General features: G+C 35.6%; 1 protein-coding gene and 1 non-coding gene across 2 annotated transcripts in view; one reads left to right on the forward strand and one right to left on the reverse strand.

The window, feature by feature from the left end:
• The window catches only part of TRIQK (triple QxxK/R motif containing), a 134,132-nt gene extending 127,562 nt beyond the window's left edge, over positions 1-6,570 (reverse strand). The window contains exon 1 of the mRNA XM_047421713.1: positions 6,514-6,570. The gene's annotated coding sequence lies outside the window, so the exon portion shown is untranslated. The remainder of the gene's footprint in view (positions 1-6,513) is intronic.
• Positions 6,571-18,655: 12,085 nt separating this feature from the next.
• On the forward strand, positions 18,656-18,744 carry MIR8084 (microRNA 8084). The gene has a single exon (NR_107051.1). It is a non-coding gene; the product is annotated as a microRNA 8084 (primary transcript).
• Positions 18,745-27,134: the final 8,390 nt, after the last annotated feature.

Raw genomic sequence — 27,134 nt, forward strand, 5'->3', positions numbered from 1 at the left:
ATGGACCGTATAGGATTCTGAGTGTCACACATGCTCATATGATCTTAATAAACTGTATGAATGTGTGTGTGTATACACATACATACACACACACACACACACACACACACATATATATATATATATACAGGAGGTATTTCTGTTGACCCATTTAATTACAGTACTGACTGTACTAAAATAGCTAAAAGAGAGGATTTTGAATGATCTCACTACACAGAAATGATTATTTCTGTGGAAATCATCATTAAGCAGTGGAACTGACTGTAAATTTGTTTACAACAATATTTACTTTTTTAACTTTAAAACTCACAAGTAGAAAATAATTTCTTCAGTAGGCAAGATACAGATGGAAAAATTGGTGGTGGTTATAGGTAGTATTTAAAACAGCAACTCAAAAATGAGCTTTAGCTTACACACAACTTATTTCTTTTAAAAGAAATATCATCAAAGAACAACACCACCATTTTCAGGTTCCCCTTCCTGGTCAAAGAGGTGGTAGAAGAAATGGGAAGACTGTAGCAATCTAGGTTTTGTGGAGAAAAAACATATGAGTAGGGAAAAAGATGAGGAGAAGGAAGAAGAACATCATCAAATAGCATTCACTATGTGCCAAAGACTGGGTTATACCTTACAAACATTTTGTCATTCAACCATGACCATAAAACTATGAACTGGGAATTAACCCTATTTTACAGATGAAGCAGCTGAGGACCAGGGAGGTTAGGAAACCTGATCCAAGTAAAACAACTAATTGGTAGGGATGGGATTCAAACCTAGTCTAAATCTAAAGCCCATTCTCTTACCCACCACCCTCCTACTGCAAATGTATCGAAACCAAGATAGATGCAGATGTTGAGAGTACAAGATACAGATAGATGGTGGACAGTTTGGGGACAGATGGAAAATATTTGTAAGCTGGAGAAAAGTATCTAGACAGTGCATGAAGCAGATACGTACTCAGAAGGCAAGAAATAGAAAATAAAATAAAAAATAAAAAGCCAAGGGAATAAATTGATAGGAATTAGAAATGGCTGGGAAAGCAATATGGGCTAATTTTGAACTCTTGAAATTGGATGGATCAATCATACTCCTGTAAGTCTTCAGGCAGAAACTTTGTTGAAAGGGTAAATATTTGTTCAGCTTTTTCTTTTTGGCAGTAAAAATAATTAACATTCTGTCTTTTCTTTGTGCTGGGAAACATCATACATTTAACCAAATACACAGAAAATGTCTTTGTTGATGATCAGGTAAAACAGAGTGCCCACGATTCTGTCCATATGCCAAAATCTCATGAATATATAAACTAGAGGGAGAAGTGGTGTTTGCAGTCATATGTAGATCCAGCGTTTTCAGAAAAGCCAACTCTTCATTGTGGTTATGAATATATGGTGTCAAATTTGGTCATATTCAGAAATGGTTAAGGAAAACTGAACTAGATAAACTATTGAGAGATTTTTCTGGTCTTTAATTCTGCTTTTTTTTCTTTAATTTTAAAGCAAAATTTAGATACATTTCTAATCTTGCCCATAATTGCACATTGATACCAGAAAAGACCATAAAGCCGTTATAATTCACTATCTCCTAACAAAGTGACGCACCAGCTTAAATCTTGAACTCCAATAGCATTTTGTCAGCAGGTTTGTTTTCTTACTAAACCCTCTGAATAAAAGGGTAAAAAATATTCCTAAATAATGTAATGCAGTGGCTTTCTCAAAATGTAGTGCTGGAACCACCAGCAGCAGCATCGCTTGAGAATTCATCAGAAATGCACATTTTTAGACCTTAGCTCTAGATGTATTGAATCAGAAACAACAAGGGCTGGGGCTCAGTGGTCTGTGTTTTCACACGCACTCTAGGTGATTCTGCTGCATGCTAAAGCTGAAAACCACTGGTGTAGTGGATCTTTGTGTGCATAGTGTGAAGGGGTGTCTGAGAACCATGATGTCCTACACAACAGGAATCAAACAGGCTTTGCTAAATGTTTTCAGGATTACTCATGGTATACAATGAGAAGGTTTCTAAGACTACCACTATGAAAACTTTGGGTCGCTCAATGGTGATTAGACGAGACGGCAATGCACAGTCTCCTAAATATTCCATCTTCAGAAAATTCCCAATTAAAGAGTAAATATGCTGATTCGATAAGCTTTTATTGAGTAACACTTGACTATTTGGATTGACTCTCATCTCATCTAACTTAAAAAAATAATAATTTTCTGTTTCTTTGTCTGTCTTGCTTAATAGATGGTTAGCTTCTTGTGGTTAGGAAACATGTCTTATTGACCTTTGCATGACCTATGGAAGTGACAGATCCTGGAACACAGTCTATGGTCAATAAATGCTAGTGGGAAGAAGGACAATGCAGAAGAGAGGTTGGGAGGGAGGAAGAGAAAGAGGGATCAAGTTGAATGAAAAAAGGAATTAAAAGAGGGCTTTTAGATAAGCACATTCAGTAATGATTTTATTATGGTACATGAATTTTATTTTCAAATAGTGTGGTCTGAGAAATAGAAGCATCCCTCAAATTACTCAACATATGATACAACTAAGAATATAAATATGTGGTTAAGTACATGCCATTAATATTTGTAGGTGCCAATTTTTACATATCCTTTGGTAACATTATTCATGCAGTTTTTCTATGTATTTTCCCCACAAAACAATTCCATTTTCTTAAATAATAATAATTGCTAGCAGCCCAATTCTAATAAACAACCCACAATAAGTCAGTATGTGCCCATATAGAGGAAAGAGAAAGGATTACTTCAGAAAACAGATGTCAGTTTCAAGCTTCCAAGGATTTATTATAAACAGAAATGAGTAAAGAACATGAAAAATACTTTGGCAGTGCTATTTGAATACAGAGCTAATGAAAGGCTATATTCACCATCAAATGTATGCTAACAGCCAAATTGCCAGAAAATCTACTGTTTCACGAGTAGTCTATGCCAAAACACAGGCTACAATTATACATAAAAAATGGTTAAACAAAATGTGAAACAGCAGGATTAACTTTCTACTGGGAAATCTGTTTCAGTATAATTGCATTCTGTTGTGACAAATAGGAAATATATGCAAATAATGAATTAGAAATCAATTTCGAATAAACAATGTTACAGAAAAAAAGAAATTCTAAGAGTAAAATTTATAAATTAGGCATTACTGTGACCCACTACTTTCTCTTTAATATTCCTTTCAATAAATACTTTAATAATAATGTAGAGTAATGATATATATGCAAGCCCGTTATTACTAACTCTGAATATGATTTTATCATTTTTCATTCTGGCCATTTTGCTATATGAACAACTATGAGGAAAAAAGTCTTAACATTTGCATTGAGAAAATTTAGCATTTTTGAAGAACAAAACTGTCTAGTAAATATTTTAAATTAAATAGATGTTTATGTTTTACAGTTTTGTGAGTCTTACTGGTTTTGGTTTTTTGGTTTGTGGTTGTTCTGAGTTGTTGTGTTGTTATTGCTGTTTAGAGCACCAACCAAATGACATCATAAAAAGTTACTTTATAATTTTTAATCACATATATTTCAAATTGCAAATAGAGTGTTTAGACAATACACTCTTTGGAAGAACCCATTATAATACAGAGTAGTGTGGGAGGAGGAGATGCTACATTTATTTTAAGAGAGGGGAAAAAATCTGTATTTCATTTGTTACACTGCTAACTTCACTTTAGGTAATTGCATTCAGCTTTATTATTGCCCAGAGCAATAACTGATTGTTAGTTATTGAAGTCTGAAATGATTTTCTCATTTCCCAGGGGAATCTAGAGATTTACATGGTGCACAGCAGTAACTAATAGATATAATCTGGTCATAATGTAGCCATATAATGTGTTATTTACTTGTGGAGAACATAGATGTTCAACATTTTAACATTTCCTCAAGAAGAGTGAGCTATTTTATTCAAGATATATAAACATTAACTGTAACTGCTTGACCTTTTAAAGACTATCAAAATATCAGAATCTTTTTTAAAATGTATCCGGCAATAACAACATTTTATTAAAATTTATAAAATTATCTATTTATAGGTATATGAACTAATATATAAAGATAGTTTTCCTTTTGTAATTAAAAATTTGTTTTACTTAGATGCTTTTCAAAAAGTACTTTACATTATTTTAAAATTTCTTTACATAATTCTAGTGTATTTCTAAAATTCCAGCTAAATTGTCAGATTTAACATATAACCAAAGTAATATAATACTACAAAGCAAATTTAGTGGTGGTTATTCTGCAAGCATGTTTTATTTTTTTAAATAATTAACCCTTTTCCCCATTATAAATTTTACTTTTATAGTTTTGCTAACTTCTCACTCAGAAAGTTAAAAAAGCATAAGCTTTTTTTTTTTTTTGCTTCTTTATCTTATTTATTTAAGGTGTATAGCTTGAATTCTAACTAGGAATGACACACACACACAAACCCAAAACGATGGAGAAAGATGCAACTTTCTAACAAATCCTCGCTTTTGCTGTTCAGGATGCTATCTTTCTTTATAACATAAGGGTATTGGCATGCTCTCATTCTGTGCAAAATGTACATGGAATGAAAATTTATTGCTCATGATTCTTGAATAAATAAAATTCTAAAGCAGCATAGCATAATAGGGGCAAATGTTTTATTAAAGGAGGTTTTTCTTTTTCTTTTTTTTCTATTCAACTGATATAAATGTTTTATGAAGGTTTCAGAGTATTCCTCCTGGAAGCATTATGGGGCCTGTACTTTTCACAAAGCAGGAGAGATTTTTGCATCTTACTCCCATTAACCCTAATGAGTGTTCTCCACAAAACACCTTGTGCATCAGAAAATAAAAACACCTTTTTTTAAGTAAAAAAATAAATAAAACAGAACTTTCCTGAGCTATGCATAGAGATTTATATTCTTCAGAACTGAACTTAATAAATATAATGTATGTTAAAAACATCCTAATTCTTTACTAATTCTTGAAATCCTCATTGAAAACTGATGATCTTGAATGCTTCTTAGCAAAGATTTACTTGCAAAGAGCTTCAGTAAGGACTCACATTACTCAGAGTATAAAATATAGTATAAAGTCTGATCATAAATAATTTAGAGTAGTGTCATCACAATAAATGAACAAAGTACATTTTACAAAACAATCCTACTGATTTTTAAAAATATGTTTCCCACTTGGTAATTCAAAAAAGACAAATTTTCTGAGTTTCCATGTGTCCTCTGGCATTATCTTTAGGTTTTAAAATCAGTTGTTATTTTCTAATCTAATCAGAAATTATTCAGTGCAATGTGTACAAAAGGGAATATAAGATGCACATTTGGCTTCATTAACAACTAGTTTTCTAATCTAGTCTTGGAGAAACAGTTCTATCAACAATGGAGCAAAGTTTACTTTTACTTTTAATTTTATTAAGATTTAATGCAAAAAATTTACAAAGTTTGTTCCACAAATATTTCACTTTTGTAGAGAACTCAAATGTATAAAACCTTTTTAAATTCAGTTCTTATTTTTAAAATGTGGATCCTTATAACAATTTGGGAAAGGCAAGGCATGATGAAGATGAGAGAAGGCTTTATGAAGATAGAAATGTCTGAGCTAAGTCCTAAATATTGCAGTCATCCAGGCAGTGAGCACTGGATGGGTGATGAGGAGAGTGGAGGGAGGTATTCCCGACAGAGGCAGCAGCAGGTGCGAAGCCTCAGAGCTGGGTAGGTAGCACATCAGGAGGTGGGGTACAGCTAAAGCAAAGATGTAAGGCTAGCAAAAGAAGTGCTAGCACAGAAGGGATGAATTAAAAAATGTATGGCATATGCATATGATGTAATATACAACAATTTTAAACAAACTAGCTATACACATATTAGTATGGATAGAACTTAGTAACTTAAAATTCAACGGAAAAAACAAGCTACAGTATAATATATGTCACATGAAACATTTATGTAAAGTTTAAAAGTACATTCAATAATACTGATTTTTAATAGTTAAACACAAATGTAGCAATATATATACTTGGAGAGAGAGAGAGAGAGAGAGAGAGAGAGAGAGAGAGAGAGAGAGAGAGAGAGAGAGATGGACCAGAAGAATATATACCAATATCAGGAAGCTATTGCTCTGGGGAGAGTGGAAGATAAATAAGACTGCGCATGTTTAGATAAGTCCAACAAATGACGCTCTCGTTCAGTCACTTCAGGACTAAGTAAGAAATAAACGAACAAGCAAAATAGCATCTGGAGATGAAAATATCACCTCTATTATGATCAGGTCTAGGCTGAGGGATGTGACTTAGGACTGTAGCAAAATAGGCTTCTTGATATTGAAAACAGACACAGTTGTCCACACTGCCATGCACAATTCCAGACTTACACAGACCCACTCCTGTAGTGGCAGAGCATCTCCCTCTGAAATTAATGTTGTGTTGCTGGGGAACAGTACCATGATTCCCACCGGCAGGCCTGTTTGCAGATAAGGAGACGCTGCATGCCCCGATCCAATTCCTTTTCCCAAACTCACCAGCAGGATAAAAGGCTCCCCTCAGAAGAAAGGCAAGAGGCTGGAGAGGCCAGAATTGCCGGAGTGTCGGAAGTCACCTTTATATAGGAGGAAACAGCAGGAGTGGGCAGTAACTGTTTCTCCTCTAAAGGGTTTAAAAATAACTTACAAAGCATGCAAGCTTCCAAGAACAACGATTGGAATCTCATTTGCTCACTCGTATGTCTCAAACACCAACAAGATTGGCTGGCTCACAGTAGGTGCTCAAAAATATTTGTTGAATGCATGAAGACCATATCTTTTACGAATAAAGAAAATGTGGTGTATATGTGCACAAAGGAATACTATTCAGCCTTTAAAAAGAAGAAAATTCCATCACGTGTGGCAACATGTATGAACCTGGAGGACGTTATGTTAAAAGAAATAAGTCAAGCACAGAAATACTGCATGATGTCACATATATGTGGAATCTAAACAGGCTGAACGCATAGAAATAGAGAGAAGACTGGTGGTTACCAGGGCTGGGGGTGAAGTGGTGGGGAATGGGAAGATGTTGGTCAAAAGGTACAAAGTTTCAGTCTGACTGGAACAGTAAGTTTTTGAGACCTATTGTACAGCATGGAGACTATAGTTAGTAATAATGTATTGCATCTTCCAAAACTGCTGGGAGTAGATTGTTAATGTTCTCACCACAAAAAAAATGATAAGAATGTGAGGTGATGGCTATGCTAATTAGTTGATTCAGTCATTCCACAATGTATACATGCATTAAAACATCATATTGGACCCCACAAATACATAAAATTATTGTCAATTGAAAATATTTTTTAAATGACCTGAAGAAAATGTTAAGGAATCTTAACCCTCATTATTTTTTGATGAAAGATACATGGGCATTATAATATTTGCCGCATTTTTCTCTAAGTTTGAAATATTTCTACACAAAGAGCATATAACGCTGGACATATCTCAGCAGTAAAGGTAGGTTAGGTACAGATTTTGAAGGCAGGTGAATACCTTGTAGACGGGTTAGGTTCTAAGAAGAGCTGACAAAAAAATTTTGAAGCCACACCACTACTGAATTTATGAGCCTGAGGTCAATTTCCTAGGTTAAAGATCATTTGGGAAAGGAAAGAGAAGAAGGCAAAATAAAAATTGGTGAAGAAAAAAATTTGGCACCAACTCTGGTGCTATTTTTGCACCCTTCCAATTCTGTTTCTTGGCATGTGCTTACGGAAAATCCCTCGTCATGGAAACCATGAGTGGAAGAAAGATGTCGCCCCTCAGAGCGTATCGTTTCAGATAGGTGTTGGAACAAAAATACTGTCCAAGTACCCAGGGTCCAGTCTGTGTGTCATTTCGTTTTGCTGAAGACTGTCTTCCATTAGCCAATATTCTAGCAGTGATGGGAGAAATAATCTGGCCATTAAAGAGAGTTCTTTTAACACAAACACAAAAAAGGGAGGTTTTCATAGTGAAATGAGTTGCATAAAATACTTCTAAGTAAGGTTAAGGTTGCTTGAATCAAGCCTCACTGGTATTGCATTTAAATAGCTAGTTTCCAGGGAGCCCCAACACTGCATAGACACACACAAACACACACAGACACACACACATACATGCACAGCCTTGCTCATGCCTACTTTCTCTGATCCCTATGACTCAGAATAGGGCTAGCATAAATTTAGCTAGAGCCAGATTCTTTTAGGAAAATTGGGGAACACAATATTCTATAGTACTAAGACCAAAGGAGACAAAAGCAGTGACATTTATACAAAATTGTGTTTTAAAAACAAAGCTAGTGGACTCTTGGACAGTAAGAAAAATGGAGGGGAAGTACTTTGCATGGTGTAATTCATGGATAAGTGTCTAGAGGATGAGAACAAGAGTAATGATATTGGCAGACCAACCCAATTTTCCTAAAAATCTATCTTCAGGATCCTCTTCCATAACTGTTTCCTGCTTTTTGTTAGCATGTCTTCTTCTTGAACTTTTGGTTGTCTAGATATTTAGAAAAAAAAAATTTAAATTATTTTCTCAGGAAGATCACACAGAGAAGCAAAATTTTCCCCCAAAGTTGGAATAAACTAGTTCTTTAACAGTTCTCTCGAGGAGACAGTATGACACAGTGATGAGGAGAATAGGCTCTGGACTCAGGGTACCTATAACAAAATCCTGACCCCAACTATTACCAGCTGTGAGTTGACCTTGAACAAGTAATTTAATCTATGACTTAGTTTCCTTGTCTGTAAGTGAAGCTAGTTAATAGTCACTAACTCATTGGACATTAGATAAGTTAATGTGTCAAAGTAACTCAGCAGCATATGTAACACACAGTAAGCAGTCAATAAATGCTAGCAAATGGGTTACTGACACTTTAAATTATTAATAATAACATATAAGTTTGCATATTTATAGCATGTCCAACCTAAGTAATAGGCATGTAACATCAAAACACTTGAGTAACAATGAAAACATGGAACTGATTTAAGTGCATGGTTCTTGACCTCCTCTTTTACTTAATTCTGTGAGGCAACGAATTGTTTTATCCTGTGTTAATAAAGCTTCACCTGGAAAATCCCTAGAGCCTAAAGTCCTATTTTTATGTCATCCACTTTACATAATGCCAGATATTGACTACCGTTATTTTTGAATAAGGGATGTGCAAAAGATAAAATACTTGTTCTGGTTTCAATTTTGTCTACATGTTCCTCATGTTTCCCAAGAAAACTGAAGCCTTTTGAGAATAATGCACCATTTTATTACAAAGAGTGTTAGTGTCAGCATATGCCAAAGAAGCTGTGTCACACTCTGGAAGTAAGTGTCAGAAGTAAATATTCGTAATTTAACAAACTTCCTGTAGAGAGGACTCCAGGCAGCAGCTCAGTCACAGGTAGCTGTGTTCTCTACCACCTAACCCTGCCATTGTGACCACAGCAATTTAATTGGGGTGGGCACCCAACTGCAGGGAAGCCAGAAACTTCTGAGATTGCATGACATAAGAGTCTTACCTCCCAATGACACTGACCTCTGAACTAATCAGAGCATCCTCCTGGGTGGGACTAGATAGCTACACACAGAAAGGTAGCTGGCTGGTGGTGGAAGCAGATGTGAATACACACCAAAGGAAGCCTAAACAGGTTGAAATCAGATGCTGACTGAGGAGGGATGGGCTATGGGGAGCCAAGGAAGCAATGAGGTAAATAGGCAGTCACACTGGCTCAACAAGGCTGCACTCCAGTCGCTACAAGACCTGGCTGTTCAGTGATTCCTATTCTTGTTTAAAACCATTTTTTTCTTTCTTTCTGGCTTTCCTAGAAGATTGGCTAAGATTCCTGTTTTCTTTATTTTACAGCATTGCCTACATGAGGTGACGTGAATGAATTTCTGTTCTTTGCAAACAAAAGACCCTATAGAAAAACCAAAATAACACAAACATTAACTTTTGAAGTTAAAATATGTCCCACATTAATGTTGTTTATTGGTGTACCTATGTTCAGTAATTAAAAAAAGTTACGTTTGCAGTATTTTAATAGTGGGCAATCTTGTACATTCTAAAGCAAGATTTTTTTATGTTTGCTTTCCATGCCTAATCTATCCAGGGGTTGGGGGGGATCTTCTGAGTATATTTCCATTAATAGTTCACATTTTAAGCACTTATATGAATACAACCTATTAGTTACTTTATTCTAATTTCATATAGTGATATTATAATTATTATTATAGATTTATTTTGACATAATATTCTTTTTTCCATTGTTTACATTGCAGAAGTTTGAGGATATATAATTTCTAAAAATAATATTGTGCTTTAACTTATAGATAGAAAACATGATTAGTCTTTTCAGTTATTAAAAATTTATAGCTTTGACAAATTGTATCAAGCAGCCACAGTTGAATTTTGTTCATATAATTAATTCTCTAGATATTATTCTATTTAAATAGCTGGTGTTTTTATTTTGCTACATTGAGTGCACATAAACATTTTATTCAGAAACAGTTTTAAACAAAAAAATGAAAACCCATTATAAGACTAAATTGTCCTCCCAAATGCTCTCATAGCATTCTGTGAATTTCTATCTATTCAGTTAACGCCTTAGCCTATTCATCGGTGTTCCTCACTAGCTTGTAAATTCTAGAGGAGTAGAACTGTTTCCTGTATCTTGTGTACCCAGCATCAGGAATATAATAGCTATCCAATAAATTTTTGGTAACTTATACAAGTAAAAAAATAAAGCATATACAGCCACCTTTTAAAGGACTATAAATAATTTATTTACTTATATGCTGATTGCAGCAGCTATGTGCCTCCATTGAATGCACACTTCTCAAGTCACTGTTAGACTTATCAGGCCATTGTGCTCCAAAGATGATAAAAGCAGATGGGATATTTCACTGCTTTACCCCAGGAAGGGGAAGGAAAGTGATCAAAATTTGTTATCAGAAGTACAAATTAATAAGGCATTAGAACATCATTTGAAACCTAACTTTTTGTGTACTTCCTGTGGCTATTAAGTAATTTAATTATTCCTGAAAAGTTTGATATTAAAGACCTTTGATATTGAAGAATTGAAAGCATAGTGAAACCTGTCTTTGTGTGCCCTTTCTTTTTGTGCATTTAATATGGAGCAGTAGACTCGCTCCACTTCATGCTGATGGAGGTGGAAGGGGGAGACGGAGGTGGAAGCCTGCCACTGAATTTGAATTATGTAGGGAACATAGCCGTGTTGTACTGTCTTGTCAATATCTCCTTCCAGCTGGTGCTGACATAATTAGGCACATCAAGCACAGAAGAAGACATTTTAAATTCAAAGCACTGTTCCAAGTCCTGTGAGTAGCTATGAAAGGTGCCTGAAGTAATCAATAACACATGGTAAGGTGTGCAGTTCCAGTAGGTTATCCACCCACCTCAGGTCTATTATAAGACATGAAGAAGCAGAAAAGCCAAGATTTCTAACTTCTTAAAGAGTGGCCTTGTTTGAATAGTTTGACTTATTAGAGTGTGTTTTCTTTAAAAATATATATACTTAGAATTGAATCTTTCATCGCCAGCATAAAGTGTATATATGTAAACTTTCTGAGACCAGGAACATCACCTCCTTTGCTCTCTACTGTACATACCCACAGCATCTAACAGGGTATGTTCCAGTTAGTAAGATCTCAATAAATACGTGTCTCAGGGAATAAATAGATAAATGGAGAGCCCTGGTCTTACTTTTCCTTACCAGTAAAGTGGGAATATATTGTACATTATGGAATTATTATCTGGGTTAGAAAAAAATCAGACAAAACATCTTAGCACACAGCTAATGCTCCATAAAGTGGATATATAATAATTAAAATTATATGTGGTTGTAATATAGAATTGAAATTATGATGGAGAATAACCCACAGTTTGGTTTTTACAAATATAACTCGGGCTTCTATCACTGTCCTGCCTGACTCTTGCCTGCCCCTTCTTCTCCCCAATCTTTCTCCTTTTTTCTTTTCCAAGCCTCTATTTCTCATAAATTTCTTTTGCAGAGCAGATATCACTTTTAAATTTGTCTTTAAAGCCCATGGTTTGAGGGTCTCAGATGCCACTCTTTAAAACACTTACCAAAGTATTTTTCTAAACAAAGACAATTGTCTCCCAAGAAAAATTTTGGTGCCAGCTAAGATTAATTTTTCACCCACTTCAGATATGTAATTTCCACTGTCATTCATAGAAAGTTCTGTCACAGTTGAAAAAAAAGACACCATATGGAACAAGGTCCGTAAATACCTTCCTACACCATGTGGGGGTATAAATTTAGTTTGTGATCCAAAAGATTGCAATATCTAAGTGGTCGTTTTCAAAATTCAAGGTAGAATTCTAGTCATCCTGGGGAGAAGTGAGATCAACAGGTTGAATCTCTGGGCCCTTAAATACTAATACTTTTATTCGCTTAATAGACATGCATCTGTTTGGGGGGTGGGAGGGATTTCATGCTTAAAGAAAAAAAGGTCTGAAAATTACTGGACAAAATAAGCCAGAGGAATAACCAGAAAAGGACTGTCCAATAAAAAGTCTATGTCATAAAGCATTAGCAGAAGATAAGATAGTGTTTAGTAGCAATAAACTTTCATCTATTCACAGTATTCTTCAAGATAATGTATTTATGGCATAGCCTGGGGCCATCAACTGGCAAGTGTACATGGTTTTGGAACATGTCATCTCTGCATATTATCCATGCCTAACTGGAATCCAAGCAACAGAGGCAAAGCTTGTGATGTAACATACAATGGTATTCCCCTTTTGCCTAATAGCTGTCAATGCTGGTCTATAATAGTAACAAATTGCTTCTCATGAAAAAAAATATGTTTCATACTACTAAAACTTTGATTTAAAAAGTATAAGGTGAATGGCAGAGTTTTTATTCTACATGTTTGAAGAGAGAACAATGATTATGATTATGGCCTTCCAATAGCAGCTAATGCTCTTTCAAACAAAATAAGAGCCAATTTTTCTACCACATATGTTAAGAGAGTTTGCAAGGATTACCAAACAAATATTCATGTCCTCTGAGAAGTAGAAGCTAAGGTAGGAGTCAAGGTTTGAGAGATTTACTGAGGGAAACTCCTGTGGAGAATAAAAGTGGGGAAGCAGGAGTAGGCAGGGAGAGCTTCAGACCACGGTGCGTCTGACATCTCCGAAAGGAGAGGGGGAAGAAAGGAGGCTTAGGCACAAAGACTGCAGCACAGTCCTAAGAAAGTTTGGGCCAGGCAGTGGAGTCCCCAAGCCAACATTACCGTTCAGAGGAGTCCCGTTTCCTGCTAATACCCGCACAGTGCCCCAACTGGCGCAGCCTGGCCCCAGACAAGCGCTGATTGTGTATCCACAGGGAGAGCAGCTGGGTCTGTCAGTCAACCACGCTCCCCGCGGCAGGATCTGAGCAGTATGTCTCCACTGTCTCCACATTTTCCAAGGAGGGAAACTTTGATTCTGAAGAACTGTTAACAATTCTAACCTGGCAGACAATAAATCCACTTCTGCCTTTTAATCAATCTGAAAATCAATTAGCCTTGATCTTTGCTTTCACAGAAAAACCTCTCTCTACAAATAATCTGTCCTAAAACAGGACACCTTCAACTAACTGAAGGATTCCTGGCTACGTTTCCACAGTTTGTAAAATTTGTTATTTCATGGATACGTGTATCCATTTAACAAGCATGAAGTAATGAAGTAAGTGTCTGCTGAATGCCAGACAAAACAAATACCATATCTTTCAAATTCTTAACGTACTATTATGCACAGAATATGCATTTTGAACGTTATTCTCAGAATCTAGGATGCACAGCAACCATAAGATAGAATGTGCTCAGCGAGTATTTGGTGAGTGAATGGATTAACTGATACCATTTTGTGCAATGGGATTCGCAGTCACCTTGAGAAGATATATTACACTAGAACATATTCAGAGGGCCCATACTCCTCTTAAACATCTCTACCCTAGAGTCTTTATTCAAAATAATGTATTTTCAGTATATAAAAAGTTGAGAACTAGGCCCAGTGCAGTGGCTCAGGCCTGTAATCCCAGCACTTTGGGAGGCCGAGGTGGGTGGATCAAGAGGTCAGGAGTTTGAGACCAGCCTGGCCAACATGGTGAAACCCCATCTCTACTAAAAACACAAAAATTAGCCGGGCTTGGTGTCGCGTCCCTGTAATCCCAGCGGCTCAGGAGGCTGAGGCAGGAGAATCACTTGAACTCGGGAGGCTGAGGTTGCAGTGAGCCGAGCTTGCACCACTGCACTCCAGCCTCAGCAAAAGAGTGAGACTTCGTCTCAAAAAAAAAAAAAAAGTTGAGAACCAAAAACAGTATGACTAGTGATTCATTCATCTTACATTTTTGCAAAATTTTCTGCTTTGGGAAGATACGTTTGGTCACATTTTTATGAATTTTTATATTTGATTTTTTTAAGAGCTGCATTTTCTATAGCTTAATCTTTAAGGATAATATAAAACCGAGGATACAAACCATACACTTAATAATGAGATTTCCTTGAAATCAAAAATGAAAATTTTTTTTCAAGCACTGAGTATTTTAGCCCGACTTAAAAACATCTGATTTTTCCGTTTCCAGCTAACTGTATGGCTTTATAAACTCTGTTTCCAATAGGATCATATTCTATTAAGTTTAACAAGAAAAATTAATAAAATAAAACCATGATTCCAGAAACAGATGGTACTATGTCCTTTTTTTTTCCAACCATGACATATAATACAAAGGCGTTTTATAGCAGTAACCCAAGCAGGAAACTATAGTGATACTGTGATTTAAAAACAAAAAATCTTGTTTCTTTCAGCTCTGTAGATATTTGAGGGACTGGGAGAGTGTCTGTTATCAAAATGGAAAAAGTCAGAAGTACTAAAATCAACCTCTGCATTTACACACAATTTCCTGAAATCGTATAAATCACCCTGTAGTACCTTTTTTCCATATCCCTCCTGAAAGACCACTGAGGAATTAACTACAGGGTTTTGAAAGTTGAAGGCATGTTTCAGCTCTGCAGGATTTGTACAAACCATCAGATGCTACCCAGGCTTGGAAGACAGACATTTATTATATGTTTGTCGTCTGGCCTCTTTTAGGTCTTGCTGTATAGCTCTCTATTTTTAAATAATAGAAAATCATTATAGGTAATGATTATAGGAGGTCTTGATTTAATTGACCAATTTGGGAATTAAGCCTAAAGGGTTTTTAATTGTTATTTTGTAAGCTTTTAGAGTTTCCAGTTACCCCTGTCAATTTCTAAGGAATAACAAAACACATTTTCTAGTTAAAGTGAGAATATTTCCCTGTTGAAAATTGCCTGTTTTTATTATTGTAAGAATTGGTCCACTGAACTTGGCTCAGCCTCCAAGGTCTCAGCGAGAATGCTATGATTAATGAGGTAGCCATTAATGTCAGTAGATTGAACAACCAAAATCTGATTATATTAAAGTGCTTCCCAAACATTAGGGTCACATTAACAGTTTATTGAAACAAGCTGATAAAATTTAAAATGGTCATCTAATTCCCTTGGGTTCCTAATTGTTGCATGATAAATCACTCTGTAGAGAAATCTATTACAATGTTCCAAATGAGAAAATGTAATTTACTGTACCATTACTAGGGTGTTTGAAGCACTTCAGTTCTTTAACGGGAGGATTTTTGCTAAAATGAGAAAAAAATTTAAAAAGTTTAGATTTTTAAAGGGCCTGGCCTTGAATAAAACCTCTCTATGATAAATCTTCCAACTATATATTGGGTAAGAAAAATGATGCATTTTATGAGCCTGCATTATGTAAAAACAAATTACATTAAAGTTCCTTATGAGTCGATTGCTGAAAGTTCAGGGTGAATGAGCCTTTATTGATGCTCATCTACTCTTTAAAAGGAAATCACTGCAGAAATCAACTGTACCGTACAAACTAGGTGAAATATTTCTTTACTGTGGAAGTCTGGTCAAGTTCCCTCCAGAGACGGATATCTCTGCTTTGAAAGATAATTTTCAGGGGTCCAAGCAGAACAAATGAAATCTTTACGGGTTCAAGCTTCTGATCATGTGTCAATCCCTGAATGCAGTATTTCCAGGAATGACCCAACAGTTTCATATATTGTGAAATATTTGAGATCGTGTCGTCATTTATTCCTGGAAGAGCCACTGGCCAAGAGAGAGGGGGAGGGGGTGAGCGTTTCTGGGAATGGTCTGAAAAAGTGGTGACCCCAATTGTTTTGATGTAGCTGAAGACATAGTTAAAGGAAAGGCATATAAGCGTGTGCAAATAATGGGAAATGGTTAATCTATGTAGTTTATGGAAAGGAAATATTCTGGGCTTTGAAATGCTAATTTACTAGAATTATTATTCAAATTCAAAGAAAAAACATGTTTCCAGGAAGCTCTGCTTGACCCCCTGTCTTCCCCAACTCAGAATGGGTTTTGGGTCTCTCTCCCTACATTTCTAAATTGATTGCATAAAGCTTTCACAGAGCACTCACAAGATCATATTGTAATAATTTTTGTGTTTATGACCTACTACTTCTTCAAGAACAGTGATTATATTTTGAAACAACTGTTTAATTCCAGATCTTGTCATGATGTCAGATGTAGAGTAAATGTTCAAGAAATGCTTACTGAAAAATTAATGAATGAATAAAAAATGAATAGATCTCCAAATGGCCAATTTGCCATTTTATTTCCCCAGTACTCCATGGCTATTTTAAATGTTTAATTTGTAATCAAGATGTCTTTAAAAATACCTTTTATCCCTGTCTTTAATTATATTTTTCATATGACCAGAAATACTTACTTTTGTATCCTTCTCTTTCATTTACCCATATGTCCTACTAGGAAGGATGTGGTGGGATGAGTGTTATTTGGTGTTAGTACATCCAGTATAGTTTACAAATTCAAGAAAGACAGAGTGGTTCAAGAATGAACTATGTGTTTAGGGAGCTGGACAGGGGACATTGCGACAGCTGTCAGTGCTTGGAGTGATGGTTACACTTCTAGCCACGAAATGAACCCTTGAGAAAGCAAGTTATTGAAAAGACTGGTTGAGCCCCATGGAAGATGATGATAACCAGTCCTCAGATTACTACTTATATTTTAAATATCCCCAGTAAAGTCCAGATACACATATTTCACCTGTTTAAAGAGTTTTGCAGGAGTGTTCAGGTGCTTGTTGGTAATTTCATTCTAGATCTCAGTATCTTAACTGGAGGAAGGAATAGCAGAGAAAATACAGTACAAAAAGCAAGACTCAACTTCTGCACACAAAGAGAATACAAAGAATTGTCTTAGGTAAGAAGAAAATAGGTGAATCACGCTCATGCGTTAAGTTAAATATCAGACCCTTTTATTTTTCTATAGAAAATATTTTATGAGAATAAGATATATCTATATTGAATTTCAAAAGTTAAATATTTCTGTGGTCCAACGCTTACAGAATTGATCATTCCACTAGGAGGATAGTCTGTGAATCTCAAAAGGCTATACCATTTTCTTTTTACTTCTGAGAAAAATATTCTTTGGCAGAGTGAGAATGTTTAAAATATTTTATTTGTTTTCAGATACTGGCATCTTGCCCTTCATATTTTTAGACTTTAAGCACTAACCCTCTATTTTGATTACATTGTTGACAAATACAGAGCATTCATTTTTTGGTAACTGCTTGGCTGGCTCCCTCACTTCCCTCAAATCTTTGCTCAAATTTCTTCCAATCCAAGTCTTTCTTTACCATTCTACCTAAAATAGCCCTGCTCCATCACTCTATCCCCATATCCTTTTTGAAAAATTGTTCTCAGGACACTGATATATTATTTATTTTTAATGCTATTGTATATGTCCTCCCACTTTAATAGAAGTTTCATGAAAACATGATGTTTATTATTTATTTATAGCTGAAACCCCAGGGACTATAACAGTGCCTGGCATATCATAGGTGCCCCATAAATATTTCTAGAATAGAGAGAACAGAATGTGTTAGTTGCAAAAGCATCTTCTGTTTTCAGAAAGGCAGGTAATTTATTAAAGTTGGAATACAGAATGTATATGGGAGTGTAGTGACCAGATGTGCATTTTAGAAAGTTCATTTTGACATCATGCACAGGACAGTTCATTTTTATAGCAGTTTTAATGAGCAATATTTTTATAAGACTGGATTTTATCACTTTCGATGGACTTTAATAAGTATTGAATTGAAATAAACATTAACTGAGCATCAAGAAAGAAAATAAGAAACAAGGGTCCTGGGTAATCTATAAATTGATGTTTCTTAAGTAATTAGACATCAACTTGGCTTGGTATATTTCAAATGCCCTTGGTTCTTGAGAGTACCATTTTCTTCCTTTTTTCATCTTCAAGGACTTCTATACATAGAAGAAGAAATCTACATTTACTATAGACATTAAGGGAGGTGTGTTTAATCTTATGCATAGCTCAGAAGGACAAGTAGAGCCAGAACTCAATTGCTTCCTAGATTCGTGGTTCTTATATCCAATGTAACCCAAAAGCACATGCCATTATTCTGACAGGAGGTGCAAAAGCATTCAGTCAAATTCAGAATAATGCTACCTCTCTGATCCCAGCAACCGTTCATGGCTGTGCCCATCTCAGTGAAATCCTTCTTTTAGAATCTTAACTAATTTGATAAGATAGACAGATAAATAGAATACTAAGTAAAAAATCAGTATGGATTAAATTTATATTTTCCTCGATACTGAGTATTTTTTCTTAGGTTTAGTTTGGGTTTCCTCTTTTATGAGTTGCATATTCATATCCTGCGTCTATTTTTTTCTATTGGTTGTTTGTATTTTTCTTCCACATTCATTAAAATTCTTTGCCTATTCTGGATACTAATACTTGGAGGAATTACAGATTGCAAATATCTTCTCAATTTCTTTTCACTTTCTTTCTGGTGTCTTTTGATGTATAAAAGTATTTACTCTGATGCAGCCAAATTAACTAAGCATTCCCTTTATGGTTTGTGGAGTTTTTAAATTGTTTTTTAAGTCTTATTTCAGGATCTTTCTATATCCTAAGGTTACAGAGAATTTTCTCCTATAATTCCCTGACCATCTGATATGGTTTGGATGTGTGCCACTCCAAATTTCATAAGAAATTGTGATTCCCAGTGTAGGAGGTGGGGTCTAGTGGGAAGTCTCTGGGTCACAGACAGATCCCCCATGAATGGCTTGGTACTGTCCTCATGGTAATGAGTGAGTTCTCACTCCATTAGTTCACCAGAGAGCTGGTTGTTTAAAAAAAGTTGGCACCTTCTCCCCTCTCTCTCACTCCTGCTCTCAACAGGTGACACGCCTGCTCCCACTTAACCCTCTGCCGTGAGTAAAAGCATCCTGAGACCTCACCAGAAGCCAAGCAGGTGTTTGTGCCATGCTCGTACAGCCTGCAGAACTGTGAGCCAAATAAGCTTCTTTTCTTGATAAGTTATCCAGTCTCAGGTTTTCTTTCATAGTAATGCAAAACCAACAAGTACACCATTCTACTTAAAATTGCAACCCTAGCCCCAGCTCTGCAGGCACTCATTACTTCCCTCTCCCCATTGGCTCTAGTTGTCTTGTTTACTTGTTACTTGTTACTTGTTTCTAAGTTTGCTTGTTTATGTTTTTATTATGTCTTAATGAATTATATGTATACTTCATAAAAGCAAAGATATTTGTATTTTATTTTCACTGATGTATCCATTATACACACAAAATTGCTTGGTACAAGTAGATGTTTAATAAATTACAAATGTAATTAGTAAATGGACATTTCTTCTAAAAGTTTTAAAGCTGTGCCTTTTACATTTAAAATTTTAAATTTCTTGGCATAATTTTTTGTGTATGTGGCATAAAGTACTATTCTAAATTTTATGTTTTCCAAATGGATAACAAATTGTCCTAGCAGCAGTTTTTCAATAGCCCAACAACTCAAACATCTATGTTGCTTCCCTATATATATATATTTTCATATATTGTATTCACTAGAATGCAAGCTCCATGAAATCAGTGACTTTCCTTTGTTACCTGCTTTTTCCTCATTGCTAGAACCATGCTTATCACGATGGAATATTATACAGAAATAAGAACAAAAATGATCTATAATGGCATGCAGCAATATGAAAAAAGTCAGAAATATACTGAATTTTAAAAAGCCCAATACTAAAAAAGTACATACCATATGATTTCAGTGATTTAAGTAACAAAATGGGCAATATTAGAATATGCTTAGATGTCAGATAATGGTTATCTTCTGAAAAAGCAGTAGCTGAAAAGAAATAAGAGGGAGGTTTCTGGGTTGCTGATAACATACTGACTCATTGTTTGTGAATTAAAAAAGTGTGAAGGTTTAATAAATATTTGTTGTGGGGTTCTTTATTCAATTACATTGCTTTGTCCGTGTATGTCTGCATCAATACCAGACTGCATTAATTACTAAACTTTTAAATGTCTTCATATTCAAGAGAATGAGTTTTCCATATTGTTCTTATTTATCAAATTTATATTAGCTAAAGTAATCAAGCATTTATTCTGCTATTTCTGTACAAACTATACTATGGATAATTAAGTAGTAGATAAAGAAATATTTCTTCTTATAGAAGCACTTCAGCTAATAATGAAGAAGAATTATTATTACAGCATTACAGTATCATTACTTTGCAATGTCTTCTATATTAATTAATCTAGACATTGATCACCAATGGCTGTTGGCGTTTCAAAGAAAGATGCAATGAGAATTATATTCTTCCAAATGGAGGAGCACCACCTAAGAAGCAGTCTGACCAAAAATAAAATAAAAAATTGTATCTGAATGGTATCAAGTCTCCATAAAAACTAGCAATTTACAGAAAATTCAGAGGGCAAAGGAAGATGTTAAACTGCACCATACAATGCAATTAGCACAGTCCAGACTAAGAAACTTTATTGTACAAACAACTTGGTTTCTTCAATAAAAACATTATAAGAAAGAAAAAGAGTTGTTGGAGGGGAAATATATAGACTTTCCACCATTTGCAACATGTGAGACTTATTTGAATCCTGAGACTGTAAAATAATTATTACGTTTGTGAAACAATTGGAAATTTGAACACTGAGTATGTGCCAATGATGATGCAATGGTGGTTAGTTATAATTTTAACAAGAGTGATACCTTATATTTTAGACATGCAAAATATTATTAATGAAACAAATAATTGTCATCTTCAATGTCTCCTGTTAAATTCAGATGTTCCACTTCAATAAATGTTGATATTTCATTTTGCTACCATTGCAATGAGGGCGGTCGGAGTGGAAGAGGAGGGGAAGTCTGTTGGCAGTAGGATTGCCAAATAAAAATATAGGACACAATTAAATTTGACTTTCAGATAAACAATGAATAATTTTTAGTACTAACGTCTCCCAAATATAGCATGGGATATTCTCTACTATAAAAAATATATTATTTTCTCTGAAAATTAAATTTAACTATGTGTCCTGTATTTTTATTTACTAAATCTAGTTAGGAGAGATCGCAGTTGATGGGAATAGAAACGAAGCAGAATTAAGGGTTTGGAGGAATAGTGATTCTGATGTTGACTTTTCGGACCTTCAGTTACTAACTCCGTCTACATACAGAGCATTCTTACACCTGATTCTTCTCTAAAGAGAAAAGGGTTAAAGACTTCTGTTTGTTTTAATTTCAGTGTTAAAATATTATGTCCCCAAGATAGAAGCAGTAATTTTATCATTGTTTCTCCTCTACCTTACGTTACTGTAGAGGCTTGCATTTAAACCATTACAGAAACCAAAGTGCCAGTCAGTAGTTCGAAGCAACAGTGCCAACAGCAGCATCAAAAACTACCAGAGCTTCTTGTAGGCTGCTTTTCATACATCTATGTTCAGTTCTCACATTTTAAATTTTACATAATGCGTTTGTCTTATTAAAAATGAAAACAAAGAGAAAGCACTTGTGTCCATTAATCTCCTCCAGGTGCTTTATCCTCTCCTGTTTTTTTCTCCTCCAGCTGGTTTTGTATTTCTTATTTGTTTTTTGCTTTCCAGTCCTTGCATATTTATCTGTTCCTTGAAAAAAATCAACAATTTTTTAAAAGGCCATTAAACCAATCAAAGCTTGGCTATGGTTGCTAATTTAAGTAGCTCTCCATCTGAATTGGAGCTGCTCTTTTAAATTAAGAAGATTGTTGGTTTATTGGAGGGTCTTACATGTTTCTTCTTCAACTGATGGCAAGTCATGGGTTTGAATTCCAGTCAATCATATAAAGCTATACCTTGACCTTATATGGCCAATGAGCCCTCACTTGGACTGAAATAATTTCCCATACTATTCATTTATTTAAGTCAAGCAGGATCTAGCAACTCAGTGGATGAGACTCACATTTATTAAAAGCAAGAATCACTCTTCCATTTATGAAAATTTTTTGTAGGCATTCTGGAACGCAGTCGGGTGCTGTCAGACCCAGGTCTGAATTCCAGCTCTTCCATTCACTTGCTCTGTGACCACAAAATTAATTCACTTGACATCCCTGAATGTAGGTTTTCTTCTATGCAATGGGGAAAATAATACTTAGCTTACAGGTGTGCTGTTGTTGAATTTACGTAGACAAAGCCAGTCTACGGAATTTTTAGGTAAAACCCTTGGTGGGAATGTACAATCATTTTAGGAAACATTTTGGAAGCTTACTTGAATTTAAATATGCACCTACCGTATTACCTTGCTATTCCATTGCTATTTACCAAAAAGAAATAAAAGCATTTGTCCATACTAAGACCTATACAACAATGTTCATAGCAGTTTCGTTGGTAATAAATAAGATGTGGATTCAATCAAAGTGTTCATTAATAGGTGAATTGATGAGCAACTTGTGGTACATTCAAACTCTGTGCTACTCTTCAGCCATGAAGTGAAATTAACTAATGACACATGCAACAACTTGGTGAATCTCAAGATAAATATACTGAATAGAAGAAACCAGAATAATATTGTATGATTATACTCACATAAAAGTCTAGGAAATACAAACTAGAGTACAGCGACAGATAGCATATCAGTGCTTGCCTGGGGATAGGAGAGAGGAAGGAAAGAATTACAAAGAAGGCACAAGTAAGCTTTTGGAGGTGATATAATTGTATGTTACCTTGATTATGGTGATAGTTTCACAGGTATACATATATCAAGATCATGGAAGTACACACTTTACATATGCATGACAATGTACCTCAATAGAGTTGAAAGAAACAAAATAGAAACATAAAGTGATATCATGTTGATCAATAAACTCATATCTAATATCCAAAAATAAAAATATTATTTGAGTTTTCCATGAAGGAATAGGATGGTGATTCTTATATATATTCTGTCTAGGATTTTCTTTGCTTCTGTGCTGTTTCTTTCCAGAAAAACATTCATTATTATCAATTTTTATTGGAGGGCTTTCAAAATATTTCTAATTCATTATCTTTGTAATTATTTATGGGAATTAAAATTCACATTATATATACATATATAGAGATATTCCACTTTAATATGCCAATATTATCCTGCTTGTTACCTATAGTTCTTTGTTTTCCTTTTTCTATCATGAAAGGATTACATTATGCTTGCTTAGAACTCAATATGTTCACTTCCTAGCCTGCTGCTCTGATACGCAGAAATATCTTTCATGAATCATCACTCCCATATCTAATTCATCTCTTCTAGTTTGCCCAACACTCTTGACCTCTCTTTACACATAATTTCATCTGCCAAATGATTCCTACCCTCTGCTCCTTCACCTCTAACAACACCATGAAGACCATGATTCCCTCCCCTTTCCCCACAAATTCTGAGCAGAATGGCTTGGTGGCTTCCCTTTCTCCACAGCACAAATTACCTAGGAGCATGACAGAAGATGTGTGATGAGCCATTGGTTATAAATAATATAATTTCATTGTCTTCATGAAGTTTCCTTAAGAAATGCTAAGAGTAAATTATTAAGATAGAAGGAAAAATATGCTGATGAACATGGTGATGAACAGAAGGAAGAAAGGTAAAGCAGAGAAGATAAGAAGATAAAGGGAAATGTGACCAAATTCTTTGTTGTTGTTGTTGTTAGAGACAGTGTCTTGCTCTGTCACCCTGGCTACAGTACAGTGCTGCAGTCATAGCTCACTGTAACTTTAAACTCCTGGGCTCGAGATCTTCCTGCCTCAGCCTCCTGAGTAGCTAGGACAATAGACACATGCCACCAAACCCAACTACTTTTTAAATCGATTTCTAGAGATATGGTTTTGCTATGTTGCCCAGGCTGGATCAAGCAATCTTCCCACCTCAGCCTTTCAAAGCACTGGGATTACAGGAATAAGTCACTGAGCATAGCTAAATTCTACCAACTCTATGTAGGCACTAAATAAAGCCGGCACATGAGTCACTTTATGAAATAAGTATCTTTGAACAGGACTGTGGTCCTAACAGTTTACCCTTCCTACAGTCCAACACTCATCCAATCCACACACAGTAGTAAGAGCAATCTTCTAGAAATACGTCAGATCACATGTCTCTGTAGCTTAAAATCTTTCAAAGACTCCCCATTGCGCCCACCCATGCTGACTACTAGGGCCCACCCACGCGTCTCTATACGTTCTCATCCCTGTTTACCCCTCCAACCTCACTTTGCACAGACTATCTTCCCCTCTTTCACTTTGTTCCGAGAAGCTTCACTTTCTTTAGAATATGCCCTATATTCCTTCTCTGCCACATAGTCTTCATGCATAGTGCTCTCCTCACCACTCTAACTTCCCACCTGGCCAATTCCAGATCACTCTTCCAGTTTTAGTTTAATGGTTAGCATTTTCATGAGGTCCTTGAGGAAGCATCAGTCTAAATTATACATTCCTCTTACACAACGTTGTGAAAGTTGTTTAATGAGTAAATGAACAAATAGATAGATGGAAAATGGTCCTATGAGAAATTCTTATCCTCTCATCACACATGAGAAAATACAGGCTCAGAGAGTTTAAATGGTCAAGTTAATACATGCTTGCTCTGTAGTCATACAAGAAATTACAAGGAAGACAACAAAGAAAAAAAGAGAAGTAAAACCAAGAAAACTCCTTTGTGGAAAATCAGTCAATGTCATGAATATAAGCTCTGGTATATATTTACTTGCATAGAAAATGTATTTAGTTACATTTACCCTTTAAATTGGAGTTCCTGATTAGGTTCCAATACTGCTCCCTCAAAATTTATGATTCCAGACCTTTAGGTGAATAATCCCCAGTTGCAATGATTCTGTACTCTGGCTTATATCTGCTAAGTCAACCTGTGGTTTCAGCTGCAACTACCGTGAACAGTTCTATGTACACTGTCATTCTCCTCTCTCAGATTTTCCCCTCAAGACTTTTTCCAAGCCCAGGATCTCACCCATTCTCCATGCAGGTGCAGTCTGGAAATGACGGGGAGTTACTACTGCTGGGGCACCAAACACTGTGTGATGGAGTCGGTGGATAAATGCTCACATCTTTCTGTCTTGCATAAGGACACTTTGGAGGTGCTGTCTACACTGGCCTTGTAAAGTTCCCAGAGACTCTTACCCACCAGCCTCAGTGGTGGCCACTTCAATAACTGATCAACCCATTATTGTGTTTTCTTCCTTCCTTGTCCCATTCCCTCTTGCTCACTCTTGCTTCTCAAATACATTTCCCAAATAAACTATGTGCACTCCGGACCTTGTTTTAGGCTCTGCTTTGGGGAATATCAAAATTAAGACATCCTCGTTTTTTCATTTATTTCAGTATTTAATATGGGCACAGCTGGCTAGTAGAGTACAAGTTAAACGGCATGCCATTACCCTTGCAAAATTCAGTGCTTTGTTGGGATACATAGAAATATAAGAATGATATATTATAACATAAGCTTTGTGGTATAAGAATACAAAACACAAATAAAATTGGAAAATAAAATCTGAAGCTGCTATTTTAGTGAGAGAATCAGGAACAATTGAACAGATAACAAAGATGGTATTTGAGGGTTTTTTTGAAGGATAAACATAAGTTTATCGATAAGATATGGGAGTAGAAAAAAGGCATGAGAGCTGAACAGGTTCAAAAGCACACACTGAATCACAGAAAGACATGATATATATTAGAAATAGTGAAACATTCAAAGTATCTGTGCATAGTCACTAGGGTTGAGATCACTAAGGAGGATGCTGCAGAGAGTGAAGTGACATAAATGCCAGGATGAGGGTTTTAAGGGCTAAATCCCCATTTTTTTTATTCAGTACCAATGTGTAAGCATTAGAAGTTTCTAAAAGCAGAGTTACATAATCAGATCTGAGTTTTAGAAAGATAATTCTGGTTGCCATAAAGAGAATGAATGAGCTGGAATTGAAAAAAAAAAGTTTAAGCCTGAAAACAAGGAAAGATTATGAAGATGGTATCATTGAGGATAGAGAAGGGAGAGAATTCATGAGATATATTTTATTAATAGCAAGACCAGCTTTGAATGTTTCAGGTACTCCACATCTAGGGTTGTTTATTTTTAAATAGTTGACCCCATAAATCCATAATTCTCTAAATTTGGTTCTGATATTCATAACCTATTCAGACTAACTAATCAACTCCCATACAATAAGCAGGTGACAAAAATGTTTCAGGTTGATTCTGCTGACAAGATTTGAGATGAATATTTGCACACGTAGGAAGTTTCCTGGGGCATATTCCTGGGGTCAAAGCCTGTGGTACAGCGAAAGAAGTCAGTTTGGGTGGATGAAAGATTTGAAATGTGACACATGCAAAACAAACCCATCAAACAGTCACATAAGATGAGTTCTAGAGCTGATATGGTCTATCACAGTTGTTGTGTCACTCTGCAGTAGGGCACAGGGCCTGTATATCCCCACCCCCAGAAAGAACAGCCACTGGATGTGAGCTGTGGGAAGTGGAATTAAGACAGCCATTGGATGTGGGCAGGAGGAGTGACCTTGTCCACAGAGGCTTTCTCCTACTCAGAACATTGCTTTGAAAGGGACTGAGCTGAGCTGTCAGCTGCCAACATTCCAGACATCAGTAGGACTCATGAGTGTTTGAGTCCTTAAGGAAGAATCACATCAAGAGTTCACTCTAACTGTTATCATACACCCTGTCCTTTTTATTATGTGG

Source organism: Homo sapiens, chromosome 8 (genome assembly GCF_000001405.40).
Source record: "Homo sapiens chromosome 8, GRCh38.p14 Primary Assembly".
Lineage (NCBI taxonomy): Eukaryota > Metazoa > Chordata > Mammalia > Primates > Hominidae > Homo > Homo sapiens.